The sequence below is a fragment of the Homo sapiens genome, chromosome 12, assembly GCF_000001405.40.
Source record: "Homo sapiens chromosome 12, GRCh38.p14 Primary Assembly".
Taxonomy (NCBI): domain Eukaryota; kingdom Metazoa; phylum Chordata; class Mammalia; order Primates; family Hominidae; genus Homo; species Homo sapiens.
Genome location: NC_000012.12, coordinates 65,523,602 through 65,538,608, shown reverse-complemented (window position 1 = coordinate 65,538,608; position 15,007 = coordinate 65,523,602). Strand labels below are relative to the sequence as shown.

The window sequence follows — 15,007 nt, the reverse complement described above, 5'->3', positions numbered from 1 at the left end:
TCTCAGAAAAAAAAAATTATTTCCTCTCCTCTTTAGTAACCTTCTGCCCTGTGTAGCTTGGGCTAGTTCAGGACTTGGTTCATATAGATCTGTGCTTTCCAATATGGTAGCCACATTTGGCTATTTATACTTAAATTAATTAAAATTAAATAAAACTTCAGTTCCTCATCACACTAAACACAGTTTAAGAGCTAATAGCCACATGTAACTAATGGCTACCTGTATCCAACAGCATAGCTATAGAACATTTCCATTATTGCAAAAAGTTCTATTAGATAGGGCTAGTAAGACTCCTAACTGAGACCCCTGGAGCTCTTCACCCATCTCTGACTCTACTAGTTATTAATTGTATGACTGGGTGAATCACTCAACTTCACATGTGCGAGCTGTTCCCTCTGCCTGAAGCACTCTTCCTGCCTGTGGTATCCTAGTTAATTACTTCTCATCTTTTAAGTCTCAGCCCAATCATTATATCCCCAACTAGGTCAAGGCCTTTCATAGTACCTTGTCCAATTCCTTGTCAAGGTTGACATTTTATGTATTTTTATGTGACTACTTGATTAATATCTGTCTCTCAGATCAAATTGTTAAGTTTGGAAGGACAGGAGCATGTCTGGTTTTGTCCAGCATTGTATCTCCAATGCCTAGCAGAGTAAGTGGCATGTAGTGAGGGCACAATATTTATTGTACAAATCAATGAATAAGCCATCAGTGTCTTTGCCACAGCCACTGCAAGTGATTGGTGCTCTGCTGGACTGATACTCAGCTGAGACACTCAGGTAAGGTCACATATTTTTCACAGGATCGTCCTTTCAATTGCTCTCAATGTTCATTACCTTTCCTTTTTGCTTATGTTAAATATTCCTAACAGCACTCCTGCTGGTTCACCAGCACGGTTAAGACTTTCAAAGTGAATAAATTGACCGTGCCAGTTGAACATTCACAAAGTTGGAGATGAGCACAGCATTCCATTTAGGCTTTGAAACAGACACTATTAACCTTTGTATCTAGAAGCCACTCATCCAAACTCTTCATCAAGTCAGAAACCTGACACTGATATCCTGAATGGTTTTCTGGAAACTCCCTACTTCCAGGGTTTAACATCCAGCCCCACTCTCAGGATTATATATGGGAAGTTAGAAAACATATACGTCAATGCTCAAAAATTCTATTAATAGCCACATTTCTTCCAAGTGCCCCAGAGGTTTGCAACTGTCTGAGCAATCCTGAACATCATCCTAAGTCTCTTGTTTTAGTGGAAACTACAGGAAATGGGGGTAGTTCCAGCTGAATGTCCCCTCAAGTGTTCAGGTCTGCACATACCACAACCGCTGAGTACAGGCAGACCAAAACAGCAACAGAAAGGTCCGCCCACTTGAGCTCCTGTGAGCCTTCACGTCTGAGTTCATGTGGCTCTCACTCAGAAGCGGAAGTGGAAAACCAAATAAAGTCAACTCCATGGAGGTCCTGGGGACTTAACACTGAGCAGCCACACGAATACCAGAGTGATGCATCATGATTCATGTTATTACAATAAATGCCTAAGAAAGAAATAAGGATTTGGCACTTAGTATAAAGCATTGGCAAGACAGCTCAAAGTTTTCTGCCTGTTGTAAAGCATAGCCTGGGACATTTTCTTTCATTGAGCAATATGCATTAGCAATGTTATCTAGGGTAGTAAAGGAGTTACTCATAAAGCTTTATTAAGTGATGTCAAGACTCCTTCCTCCCTGCGTTCTTTTCTTCTCTGGGACAGGCTATAGAAAAGACATTAAGTTTTTATTTTCATTTTTTTCCCAGTGTGTCTATGCCAGCCTGATATTAGAGGATGAAACACATACCTAAAGGATTAACAATCTAGAAATCACCTTTCCCAAAGTGATTCACATTGGGAAAGAAGTGCTGAAAAGCAAAACAGGTACCCTCTTGACTTAATACTGTTCATATTAACAGAATAGGCTCTGTAAAATACAGAAACAAGTCACGTCAGAGAGCATTCTTTACAGCAACATTTAGGGAATAATGGGGAAAAAACGAACTCCAGCTAGTTCTCTAGGTCTTCATGAGCAATGGAAAGGGTGTGATGCCTCACCAGGAAAGGGTTTTTTTTTACTTAGAAAAACAAAATAATTAAACTTTCATCTCCACGGTGGCTCAGCCAGCTGGTGGTGGCCCAGCAAACACATCCATGCTGGTGCATTTATGATGGACATATCATTGCTGCCAAATCAACTGTGTGATGACTTGTGTCACTCTTCAAGGCAGCTGACATACATAGGGAAGGTGTAGGCTATTTATCTTATACACAGAGTGAACACCTCCCTTGTGGATGGCCTGATGGGGTGTATTCTTGGTTTAGAATCAAAGACTTGAAAGGGACCTTGGGAAAAATTCATCTTCTTTTCTCCCTTCTAATGTGAGAGTTGCCTAGACAGCATCTCCCACAGTTTTGCCGATCTACATTCTCAATCAACATGAGTCAGAGGAGAGATCAAGGAGAAGAGGAACATATTTGGAGGGCAATGGCTGTCCACTGCAAAGAAAGGCCTTCCACCTTCTCTCCCCAGGGTTCCCCACTTCCTCATGGTCTTGCCTGCTTCTAGGTTTTTGCATGTGCGGTTCTTTCTACTTAAGACCCACTCCACCTCCAATTCATCAACATCCTTGCCTGGCTAATTCCTACTTTCCTTGTAGGCCATCCCTTCTGCCAAGAAGCCCTCTCTGACTTGGCAAGATTAGTTCAGGTGCTGCCACTCCTCTGACTCTTCCCACTAGGGTGACCAACTGTCTGTTTGCTTGGGACAGAAAGACTTCCTGGAATGTGGGCTTTTAGTGTTAAAATCAAGATAGTCCTGGACAAATCAGAACAGTCACCCCACCTCCCGTGTTCCCTGTGCTTACCTTCCTCAGACTTAGCATCTTCTATTGTCACTGCCAGTTTGCTTTTAGAACTTTAGACTGTCAGTTCTCTGAGGGCAAGGATGGTGCCATTCATCTCTGTAATCCTGCTAGCAAAGGTCTGACACATGAACAAGTAACCAAAAGCCACAACTGCAATAGCTCCTCAGTGCTAGATGAATGAATGAATGAATGAATGAATGAATGAATGAATGTAAAATCCACATCTTTTTCCAAGAGGTCTCTCATTCCTGCTTCTTGCCTTTGCAGTCCTTCCTTAAATGCAGGCATGGCTCCTAAGATGTGCTGTGGTACCTCCCCAGCCAGCACCCAGAACAGCTCATGTGCGCTTGCCAGAGGCTCCTACATATAAATAAGGCACTCTTCTTCCCTACTCCCAGCCATCATTTACCCGTAGTTACTAGCATAAAACTAAGGCCTAGGAAACATTTTTATTATTGCTCATTTCTTTGGCTACCATTAATTGAGAGTGTATGTGTCAAGGACTATGCTAGGTCCTGTCATTCATTTTTAGATACAATACACCATTTTCCAGATAAGGACTCTGTAGCTCAGAGAGTTAAACAACTTGCTCAAGGTCCCAGTGTAATAGAAGATATGGTTACAGGTGACCGGGGCTAGAACCCAAGCCGAAACTTGACTCTGAGCTTATGCTTTTAGCCACTACCCTCTACCGCCAGATGCTTCCTGTAGCTCTGTGGGGAGTCAGTCCAGGGAAGACTTTTCTGTCCAGTCCACAGCACGGTAAATTGAGGCAAGGGAAACACAGGGCCTGTTTCTTCGTCCCTTGTCCATTACCTAGACTGTGCCTGGCCCCTTTTGGTTGAAAGGAAGCATGGTTCAGAAGAGTGTACCACTGAACTTCAGGGAAGCCTGACGCAGAGGTCTTTTGAGAGAACTGAATAAACAGCTGATAAAACAGGAAGGCTCTCAACCCTTTTATCTGATGATAACTTCGAAGCTGCGATGGAGCAAGGGTAGTCCTTCTGACCAAGGTAGCAAAGCCAGACAGTGGCACCGACAGGCCTGCAGCCCTAATCCCCTGACTTCCTGCCCATGTTTTCTCCCCACTTTCTACCCCCATTCTACGACTATAAAAAACACACAAGGCTCTCTTTACCACATTCCTCAGGTTTTAAAGCCACTGCTCCCGCTGTCCTGCCTCCCCACTCCTAATACTTTTTTCTTTCTTTTTAACATTTGAGGAAGAAAATGTTATGGTTAACTGCATTTGAATTCCACAATGTCACTGTAACATGTAATAAATACCTTTTATTATTTATTACCAAAATGCTTAGGGGCTGTGGAAGACTAAAGGCTATTCTGTTCTTTCTGATGCAGCTCTAACAAGTATATTCCAGTTACTTGGGGGAGGGGGCACAGCGGGCTTGGTAATTTAATCTTCTCAATGCCACAGGCCATGTCTCCGTGATTCTGCTAGAATTGTATGTGACTGGAAGATTTGTTTTAGCTCAATCTTTGCAGCCTTGAGGATGGCGGGTTCTCAAAAACACCTATCCAGCCCAGCAGCACTACCTGAATGAGCAAGGGGGAAACCCAATGAGCAAGGGTCTGGGTCGCCCCAGAATCCACAGCAATCAGACAATTCTGTCTTAGGGTAAGGGCTGCAGAAAGCACTGCACATTCAGAGTTAGCTGGGCAAACTCACTTTGGGGATATTTTTGGCACTTTTAAAAACGGTGGCTAAAACGACCCAGAGACTATGAGCCCTCCACACCCCACCCCCCATAGCTTTTCATACCTGCAACCCAGGAATTTTGCTTGCACTAAAAAGGCATCTTCCAAGAGGACCTATGAACTTAAAACAAATGCTGTTTAATTTGCCATTCATTAGGGGTGTATCTGGATTGATTTATTGCACCCTTCTGACCCCATGTCTTTGGAACAGCATTCCTTCACGATTACACAGGGAAAGGACTCAGGCAGGACTTCCAAGGATAAGCGTAGAAGGCCACAATAATACTTCAGATTGCTGTGTATCGGGTAGCCCGAAGGAAATGCTTCGCCCAATTCAACGCACAATGCGAATGAGCCAAAAAAGTTTGTAAATTTTTTGACCCAGGTTTCTCGAGCCTTTCCTAAGGGATGTGGCCAGCACAGACGACTATTATCCAGATTATGGGCTTTTGAGTACTTCCACATTCAGGATATTCTGAGAATGTCTAACCACACACAATTGATCACAGAAATTGCAATCCCTTTTGATCCTGAGGAAGGAGGAAGTGAGCTCTTCCTGGTAACTACCCAGCAGCAGCAGAGACAGGAGGAGGGAGGGAGAGAGAGAGAAAGAGAGAGAGAGAGAGAGAGAGTGTGGGGAGGAGGGAGAAATGCACCAGGGAGAAAATACATTTCTACTGGCAGCTCAATACGCCAGTGGTAATCAGAAAATGAGAAAAACTTTGTAAAGCTCTCAGAAGAGCCAGGCTACAACAATTGCCCTTTAGAAATGAGATCAATGGCCTCTCTTGTGGGTGGCACAAGTATAATTACAGCAATTAAGAGAAAAGACTACAGTCTATTTTTTTTTTTTTTTTTGCTCTTAATGTATAAACAAGCAATTCCGGCACTTGTAAGCCAAAAAGAATTGGTACATGGCTTAATACTATCTACTACTATGACTCTCCTTGCTTTAATTGGCTTCCAGGAAAATTTCATGAGCCTTTGTGGTTGTGGTTTAGTTAAATACACACATTTACCTAGAGGCAGGCTGGGGGAGGAGAGCAGAGTGCTTTCACTGACTATCCAACTCCCAGCAGACCAGTTAGCCCCCAGGCTGCCCGATCAGAGTCCGTGAGGCTGGGAGGAGAGGGATCCTGGCTGAGGGCCTGTGCTCCTGTACTTCCCGTGATGCCTTGAATACTGTGTTCCCCTTGGAGCAGCCATAATTTCATGTGACCTCTACGTCCTACATTCCTCTCCCAGTCTCCCTTCCTCCTACCCCTAAATGGCTTGTGTTGGGGTGTCTAGCAAGCATCCAACTCTTGTTTTGTTTTTCCACTGAAGCCCAATGGCCATAGAAGAAGTAAAGAGGAGTCTGAGGCAGTGGATGAGCTGGAAAGTTTCTCATTTTTTGTGGTTGGGGGCTACTAGGAAGCCCCTCTCAGCTCCAGCCTCCTCACCCAGTGGCTAACATTCTACTATTTGTGAGTGGCTTCCCTAAGGATTGCTTAGGATTTATTGGTGCAGTTAAATAAATGAATCCCTGGCTATCCACCATGGAACGCAGCTACATGGAACTGCTGCTGTGAAAAGAGCTTGATTGCAAATCAAGGCCTGCAAATTCTCTAGAGGATGACTTCTGACCTCTCCCTGAAGAATTTGGTGCATGCTTCATAGTCTAGCTGTAACTCAGGTCATCCTAAACATAGTCTCTGCACATAGTGACAATCCATCCAGCTATTTTCTCATGATGCAATAACGGACCAGCAGACAGAAATTTAATTTTATTGATAGAAATTTATTTCTTTTGTTTAAGAATTGCCTTACATTGCATTTTTGAAATGCAAATGCCTTTGCTTTCCTATTTTGGTGCCCATGCAAAATAAGAGGAACTTTTCTCAAGATGAGGCTGATAGGGGAAATGTCCCTGGCTAGGTTGGGAGACCTGAGCCCTCCTACCACCTCTGTGGCTGTTTGGTTAGGGAACCAAGAAGCTGCCTATGTGGGCTTTCTCATCATCTTGTACTCCTAGGGCAGCTCTTTCTTGCTTATCCAGGCTGTCTTTCTTACTGAATTTTTACAGGAAGCTCTCACTACTCCCTCATACTCTCACAAAGCTCACCTAATGGTCCTCTTGATGATTCAAAAGAGGCTAGAGCTGGTCAGGAACAGCTGGTATAGGATGGTGGACAGAGTGATCCCTGGCCAGCTCTCTGGCATGAGTTGAGGGCCAAGTCAGTATGACCCACCAGAAGGTTCAGCAGGGAGGGCTGAACTGAAAGCCTGAGCTAACCCAGGGTAAGGGGCTGAGCTAGCATTTCAGAGGAAAGAGAAACCAGAGGCCTAGTAGGAACTGGGAGTCACCCAGTGCAAGAGAATTATGGTGGTTTTTCCCTCTATACCATCCATGAATGCTTAGGTGGCACTGTGGCCCACCAGCTCATTCTGGCCCATTTCACAGTTGTCACCAATCTTCAAAGATGACTCAATATGGTGGTAGATGGGGTAGGAGGGAGTTGAAGAGTATGGGCTCTACATGCTTCCAACTGCCCCATCCTAAGCTCCTACCCTATTCCTTCTATCTTTTCTGGCTGGCCTCACCCTCAAACTCTTCTGCCATTCAGGCCCCTTTTGACTTCATAATTTTTGCTCTGCATCATTTGATTGAGAAGTCTTAACATCTTTGGTTATTCAGTGTCCTTTCTCCATACAACCTTCCTAGGTCTATGATCTTGGAAAGGTCCTTAACCTTTCTCTGCATTTGTAAATGGTGCTAATTACACAACCTCCTTTGCTGGGTTGCTGTGGAATTAAATTAAGAATATGAAATGAAATTATACACATATGTATATATATTTTTTAATTTTTATTTATTTATTTTTTGAGATAAAGTCTCACTCTGTCGCCCAGGCTGGAGTGCAGTGGTGTGGTCTCAGCTCACTGCAACCTCTGCCTCCTGGGTTCAACTGATTCTTCTGCCTCAGCCTCCCGAGTAGCTGGGATTACAGGCGCATGTCACCACAGCTGGCTAATTTTTGTATTTTTGGTGGAGATAGGGTTTTGCCATGTTGGTCAGACTGGTCTCAAACTCCTGACCCCAAGTGATCCACTCACCTCGGCTCCTCAAAGTGCTGGGACTACAATTGTGAGCCACCACATCCAGCCATATATATATATATATATATATCTTTAATAGCTACTGAATACCTAGCTGCTATTAGAATTATTAGAATTAATATTAACAAACACTGTACTATGTCTTTTTGTTCATTTCCTCTGAAAATAACACATTTGTGTAAAGGTGCCAAAGATGTGCCCAAGGACCATCCTTTTCTTTAAAATTTATTTAGCAGCCAGGTGTGGTGGTTCATGCCTGTAATCCCAGCACTTTGGGAGGCTGAGGTGGGTGGATCACAAGGTCAGGAGACTGAGACCATCCTGGTCAACATGATGAAACCCTGTCTCTACTAAAATACAAAAAATTAGCCTGGCACGGTGGTGTGTGCCTGTAGTCCCAGCTACTTGGGAGGCTGAGGCAGGGGAATCGCTTGAATCCGGGAGGCAGAGGCTGCAGTGAGCCGAGACCACGCCACTTCACTCCAGCCTGGTGACAGAACGAGACTCGATCTCAAAAAACAAAAAAAAAGTTATTTAGCAAATCTGCCTTGATTTATGTCAGGCACCACCTCTAGGAATTACAGTCTAAGCCATTCACTTAAGTTTCTAGCTGACTGCTGGCATTCACTTAGCACAAAGTGCAACAGAGAAGATTCCAGGAATGCATCGTAAGAGACTGCTCATGTACCCAGTGACAGACCTAGCAGAGGGGAACGCATTTCTGACAGTGGTTCCACCAAGTAGTAGGAAGAAAAAGAGATGGAAATAACAGAAGAAAAGCAGCAGAAAATTGCAGAAAAGGCTTAGAAAAACATGTGGAGAGTGGCTTTAGAGGGGGTTGGGATCTTGGAAACCACATGAAGGATTATCCTGCAGGACTGGCCCTGAGGGCCCCTGGTGAGGAATGGAAAAGCCTGAATGGAAGGACTCTGCCTTCGGAGCTTGCTCTGAGATCTGGTGTGGAGTTTGGTGACCCCTGGAGCACAGGATAAACTTTTGGCTTCAAGTCAACCTGCACTTCATTGGACAGAGGAATACTTAAAACTAAGTGACAGGACAAAGCTATTTAGTGTCAGATTTTTGCCAGATCTTTCCATCTTGAAGCTTAAATTCAAGCCAGGGCCAGAAAGAAAGACTCGCTGTAGGGTGAATGTGGCGCAATGAGGGAGTAGGAGCTTGGGAGTTTCACCACCAATTCACCATGGGACAATGAACCTCTTGGAGAGCCTATTAATGATGACAAAGCTAGAGAGAAAAATCTTTAGCACCCATTAAAAGCAGGGCCATTCCAAATGGTTTATGACAATTTTTCTGGGAAAATAATGTACAATTGAAATAACATGAGAATCAATGAGAAAATGCATAAGTACACAAGACTCCCCTCCATCCCCAACACCCTATAATGTCATATCACATCACAGAAAAGAAAATAGAAAGAAAAATGTGTCTCTGGAGAGTTTAGCAAATCTCAAGCCTATTTGTCCCAGGAAGAAAATGTTTACATTGTATATCCAAAGCGCCATATTAGGAAATTGCTTTCTGCAAGGTTTTTCTCAAATGGGTAATGGGCAAATGGATCCAAAATGATTACAAAAAAAATTATTTCTGTGGTTATTCAAAGCCTTTTTACAACTCTCAGTTCCCATCTCAATGTGCAGGCAAGGGTGGGGTGTCTGAATAATGCTCGCTCTTCATGGGAAAAAGAAGGCAGGAAAGGTCCTGGGACTCTAGTGATATCTGTGGAAGGGTTCCAGCCCCTCTGAGGAAAAATCAAGCCACCCAGCAGGGGACATGCAGGGAGAAAGAGGCCTTTTGATGCTGGCCTAAATAAGTTGACTGGCAGAGAATTGGCCAAGGTCCTGGGTCCCTGCTCAGTGAGAAGCTCTACTCAGCACAGAGACCTTCCAATGAATATCTCGATGACCAGCAGTGTAAATGATGAGAAGGTTCTCTGGGGCACTTTGCTGGGTTTGAATTTCACCTCTACCACACATTAGCTGCATTGCCTCTGGTGAATTACTAAACCTCAGTTTCCTCAAATGTAAAATAGAGATAATGGGCCAAACACGGTCGCTCATGCCTGTAATCCCAGCACTTTGGGAGGCCGAAGAGGGTGGATCACCTGAGCTCAGGAGTTCGTGACCAGCCTGGGTGACATGGCGCCTCATTTCTACTAAAAATACAAAAATTAGCCAGCTGTCATGGTGCACGCCTGTAATCCCAGCTACTGGGGTGACTGAGTCGGGAGAATCACTTGAACCCAGGAGTTGGAGGATGCAGTAAGCTGATGTCATACCACTGCACTCCAGCCTAGGTGACAGAGTAAGACCCTGTCTCAAAACAAACAAACAAATAAAAAACACACACACACACAAAACACGGAGATAATGGTGCCTACCATTAATACACTTAATAAATATGAAGCAATTATGACTAGCACCTATAACAATGACTTGCCCATAATAAGTGCTCCATAAATGTTAACTATTCTTGCTATTTTTATTAGCTTGGGTTGCCGTAACAAAATACCATAGACTCAGCGGCTTAAGCAACAGAGATTTATTTTCTTACAGTTCTGGAAGCTAGAAGTCCTAGATAAAGGTGCTGACAAATTTAGTTCTTGGTGAGGGCTTCCTGGCTGGCAGACAGACATCATCTCAGCTATGTTCCTTGGTGTGTTTGTGCCTAGAGAGAGTGATCTCTCTATTCTTATAAGGACACTAATCCTATTGGATCAGGGCCCCACCCCTTATGACTTCATTTAGTCATAATTATTTCCTTAAAGTTCCCATCTCTAAATACAGCCACATTTGAGATTAAACCTTCTTCCAGTATATGAATTTTGGAAGGACACAACATTTAATAACACTGATATTATTTTTATTATTGAGATTAGTATTATTCTTACAAAAGTGTACTTGTCTTGTCTTCAAAGATGTCCCAAAGTATGTGTTTAAAAATCTTGGGTTGGGTGAGCCCATTGCAAAACTGTGTAGTAGGTGAAGAGGGCTTCTGCATTCCCTGGGTTGGGCCAAGTTCAATTAGCCATCAGAGACACTTGACCAGACTGTCAAATATCTTTAAGCCTCTAATGGCCCAGAATGTTCCCTCCTGCCTGCCTACAAAACCAACAACTACTACCACACACAAATACACCTCAGCCTCTGAGGCCTTTGGTTTATTCCTGCTCCTGATCTTACTGACTATGGGATACAAGGTATTAGGAAACTTGTCTTTATGGGACAATCCACATTACCGTGGTTAAAGGCTTCTGCATGTACAAACATCTCCTACCTTTTAGGCCTCAACAAGACAGAGGGGAAGGACTGGTCTACCTCATGGCTCTCAGGCTCCATGCTATATGGAGCATGTTTATGGCTGCTTTCTCTGGGCTTACCAATTTCTCCCCTATTGATAGAGAATACATCTGGAAGGTCAGGGCCAAACTCCTTAGCATCCCAAGATCCTTTACAGTCAAGTCTCTGCTTAAGTCTTCTGGTTCATTACCCACTAGTCCTCCCCACAGACATGCCTTGCTCCTCTACACTCAGGACACCTTGCACGCCGTGCTGCTTATATCCAGAAGGCTCTTCCCACACTCCTCTTCCTGGCAAGTTCCACTGAAAAGCCACATCTTTGGTGTACTTTCCTACACTTCCTTTGGTAGAATTAGATGTGCGCTTTGCTCCCATAACACTTATTATTAACCTGTGTGACCATCTTCCCAATCAGATCACTTCTTGATGCTGTCCTCAAATCCCTACCAATAAAAACTGTGAATGTAATAGATGCTTGTTAGGGATGAATTCTTTTAAATTAGCTTTTAAATTCTGGAGAAGCTCCTGGCTTTTGTGAATGGTGCCCACTGGAGGTGTATGGTGCTCAGCCTGTGTGGCCATTTGCAGTAGCTCATTGGGTGAGGCTTTCCTGATACCTACAATGATGCAGGCGGTACCCCTGCTTTCTGTAAGCGAGATCTCTGCAGACAACATGCAACCCTTTCATAACAACATTTTAGCTCTCACTTTTAAGTGACATGACATTTTAATGACTATAGGCTTAATTCAGTCTAATTAGGTTTATTCTCTTTCTCTGTTAAGTATTTCATTTTGAAAGTCTTCTGCTCACTCATTGACTTATTCCAATTCCAAGTAACTTTGTTCCCCTACACTCTCCACCTTTTGTGAGGAGAGGGAGAATTTTTCCTTTATAAATGAGTATGAACCTTGATTATTCATTCATGCTCTAGTGAGTCACAAATGAGTTCAGTTTGATCAGGTGAATCTTTTGCTACTTTGAGTCCATTCATTCATTTAGAAAACCCAAATACATCTGTGCTGGGGACTGGGCCAGAGATGAAGACATCTTCTCCCTGCGGTTTTCCTTCTGGCTGCCTGGCCCCTCCGTTCCTTCAGGGCAGCTGGCTCACCAGTTCCTAGATCTGGGAGGGAACCTATTTCAGCATTAGCAAAGGGAGATATCTCATCAGAAGGAACTCTCAGGAGCATGGTATTTTTACCTTAGGCTGAGCTGATACCCTGTTTACAGAAGCAACACTGAGCTGCAGTCAAAAGCAGTGTTTTCTGATAAAAAAAGAGAACATATAAGTCAGAGGAACAGAAATGTTAGGGACAATCAAGCCATAATTGTGCACAGCCTCTGGTCCCCTCTAGGGAGGCCATATATCTCTCTTCAAGCCGAAAGCTCCTAGTACAGTGCAGACCATGATGCCTTTTGGGAGAAACACTGATGAAATCACCCAATGCAAGGTGCCCAGCCAGCATTCCAGTCATTGTTGCTGCCTAACAAATCAGCCCAAAGCTTGGTGGTTTAAAAGTTGTTACACTGTCTCTCTAGGTTCTAGGCTCAGCTAGATGGTTCTCACGCAGGCTTACTCATGCAGTTCAATGGCTGCTAAAGCTGGAGTCATCTCAAAACCATTTCACTCATAAGTCTTGGGTTGATGCTGGCTATTGACTGAGACCCCAACTGGGGGTGTCAGCTGAGTACCTACACATGGCCTTTCCATGTGGCCAGGGCTTCCTCATAGCTTAGTGGCTGGGGTCCAAGAGGGAGCATCTCATGAGGACCAGGTGGAAGCTGGATCACCTTTTATGACTCAAACTCAAAATTCACATAGAGTCACCCCTACCACATGCTATTAGTCAGCCAGATTCAAGGGGAGGGTACATAGACCTACGTCATGGGAGCAATCAAAGAATTTGTAGACATTTTAAAACCACCAAAGCTAAGCAGAGGAAATCATTAAGATATCATGGGATGACTATGACCAAGTGAGGAACTTTTGTCTAATTGGTAAAATAAAACCAAAACACACGCTTGGAACAGAGGTTGCAGATTTTAATGTGTTACATCTGTTGCCCTTAATTCTAGAAGGTTAGAACAATGGGATGACTACTGGCCTGGAAAGTAGATTATTTTCATTCCAACACCACTGTTTGCATTTACCATTATTAGTTGAACTTGGGCAAGTTACTTAACAGCTATGAATCTCAATTTCTTTATCTCTTTGATGAGGATAATAATACTGTCTATCTTGTGTGGGTCATGGATATTTACAAGAAAGCAATGAGATAAAGAATGCAAAAGAAGATTGAAAACGATGATTTCTAATTAACATAAGGAATCTAAAATATTTTAGGAATTTTATTCTTACCCATCCTAGGCCTTGGTCTTTACAACAAAAAAAAAGTCTGTGATAATGACGTGTTGGAATAGGTTAGTTTCTCAAACTTGGTGATCTAAGGACACATTTCAAGAGAAGAATAATTTTCATAGACTCCTGAAAATACATCTGTGGGCACTGAAGGCTCCATGGATCCTAGTTGGACAAACAGTGACTTGAGGAACTTTTGCCAAGAAATGTCTCTCAATTGTAAATCATTAGTGCAAACAAGAGGATCTTTTTTTCTCCTTTATAACCAGTAAAATACGTTTTAGATTATAATCAAAATGAAAACCACAAAATTAAAAGACAATTACTCTAGAGCTCTGTGACCCTGGAGAATATGTCTGTGAACCTGGACCAGATGATATTTCAGATGCTGTCCATTTTGCTGCATAAGTCTGTGGTTTTGTAGGGTGATTCACAGAGCTGGCTTTTCCGCTAAGACATAAGTTCCTGGAGAGAAAGGATGTGTCCCAGAACTCTTTGAATCTTTCAAGGCATTTTGCATATAAGATGTTCTCAGTAATTTTTGATTGAAAGGAAATATAAATGGAGAATGGCAATGAAAATAATAAATAGGATAATATATGGACTTTTAAATTCCATCTTTCTCCCAAGCTAGTGCTTTAATATTGGCCCCACCCCCAATCCAGCTCTTCAGTGGAGAATGCCAGCAGTCTTGCTCTGAATTGGCTGTTTCAGGATCTATAAGGCTGGTGCAACCCATTAATGGCAAAAACCACAATAACTTTTGCACCAACCTAATAATTCGCTCAATGATAGTGTGTTGCATCCAATCCAGTTGACACTAGTAGAAAGTGCTTTAAACAAAACTGATTGGAGGGAGAATTCAAAACACAAAATCTTGCTCTTGGCCATCAGGTCCTGCATGATCTGGGCTCTCCCTGTCTCTTGAGCCCCACCTGAACCCACTTTGCCTCACCCCTGCTGTTCCCTCTGTCCAGAAGACAGTTACCCCCAGCTCTTTGCTTGCATATTTCCTATCTATCTACCAGGCCTCTGTTTCAATGTCTCTTCCTTGCATCCTGAGCTCCTCAATCTAAGTGAGGCCCCCTATTGTATGTAGTCCCTCTTAGAACCCTATATCTCTCATTTACATGCACTTATTTATATTAGTTTTGGGATTTGTTCAATTTCTGTTTTCCCCACTAGACTGTAATCTTCATGAGGGCAGGAATGAAGTCTATTTTGCTCAGGATTGTCTTCCTAACAGGTACTAGCATAGTACCTGGCATAAAACAGGCATCTAAATGAATATTTGGTGAATGCATATGTCAAACAACAAAAGAGGAAATTATTAAAGCATTGCATGTTTGTGCAGCACTGTGTTAGTCGTAAGAAATTGGTAAGTTTCTCAGTCTTTTGAAGGAAAAGAAAAAAGCTTCTCTAAAACTAGGATTTCTCTTTTAAAACCAGCAGTCCAGCCTCTGTTGCCTGTCAAGCAAGTCTGTGTAGGCCAGATTGATTCAAACCAGATCTACTTCCAGGCCCTGTTTCACACCGTTTCCAATAGGATATGAATCAGACAAGATACCATCAACCAAGCATTCAGTCAGGAAACAGGGCCCTGGTCAGACTTTT

General features: G+C 43.1%; 1 long non-coding RNA gene across 3 annotated transcripts in view, besides 1 other annotated feature; it reads left to right on the top strand.

Moving 5' to 3' along the window:
* MSRB3-AS1 (MSRB3 antisense RNA 1) overlaps positions 1 to 15,007 on the top strand; it is a 175,556-nt gene that overhangs the window by 103,764 nt on the left and 56,785 nt on the right. The window lies entirely within an intron of this gene.
* Positions 1,129 to 2,328: an enhancer, noted in NCBI's record as "P300/CBP strongly-dependent group 1 enhancer chr12:65930061-65931260 (GRCh37/hg19 assembly coordinates)". NCBI's record gives its function as "activates an origin of replication core promoter dependent on BRD2, BRD4, P300/CBP, MED14 and CDK7 cofactors, with strong dependence on P300/CBP, by STARR-seq in HCT116 cells {active_cell/tissue: HCT116}" and the evidence as "EXISTENCE:reporter gene assay evidence [ECO:0000049][PMID:35650434]".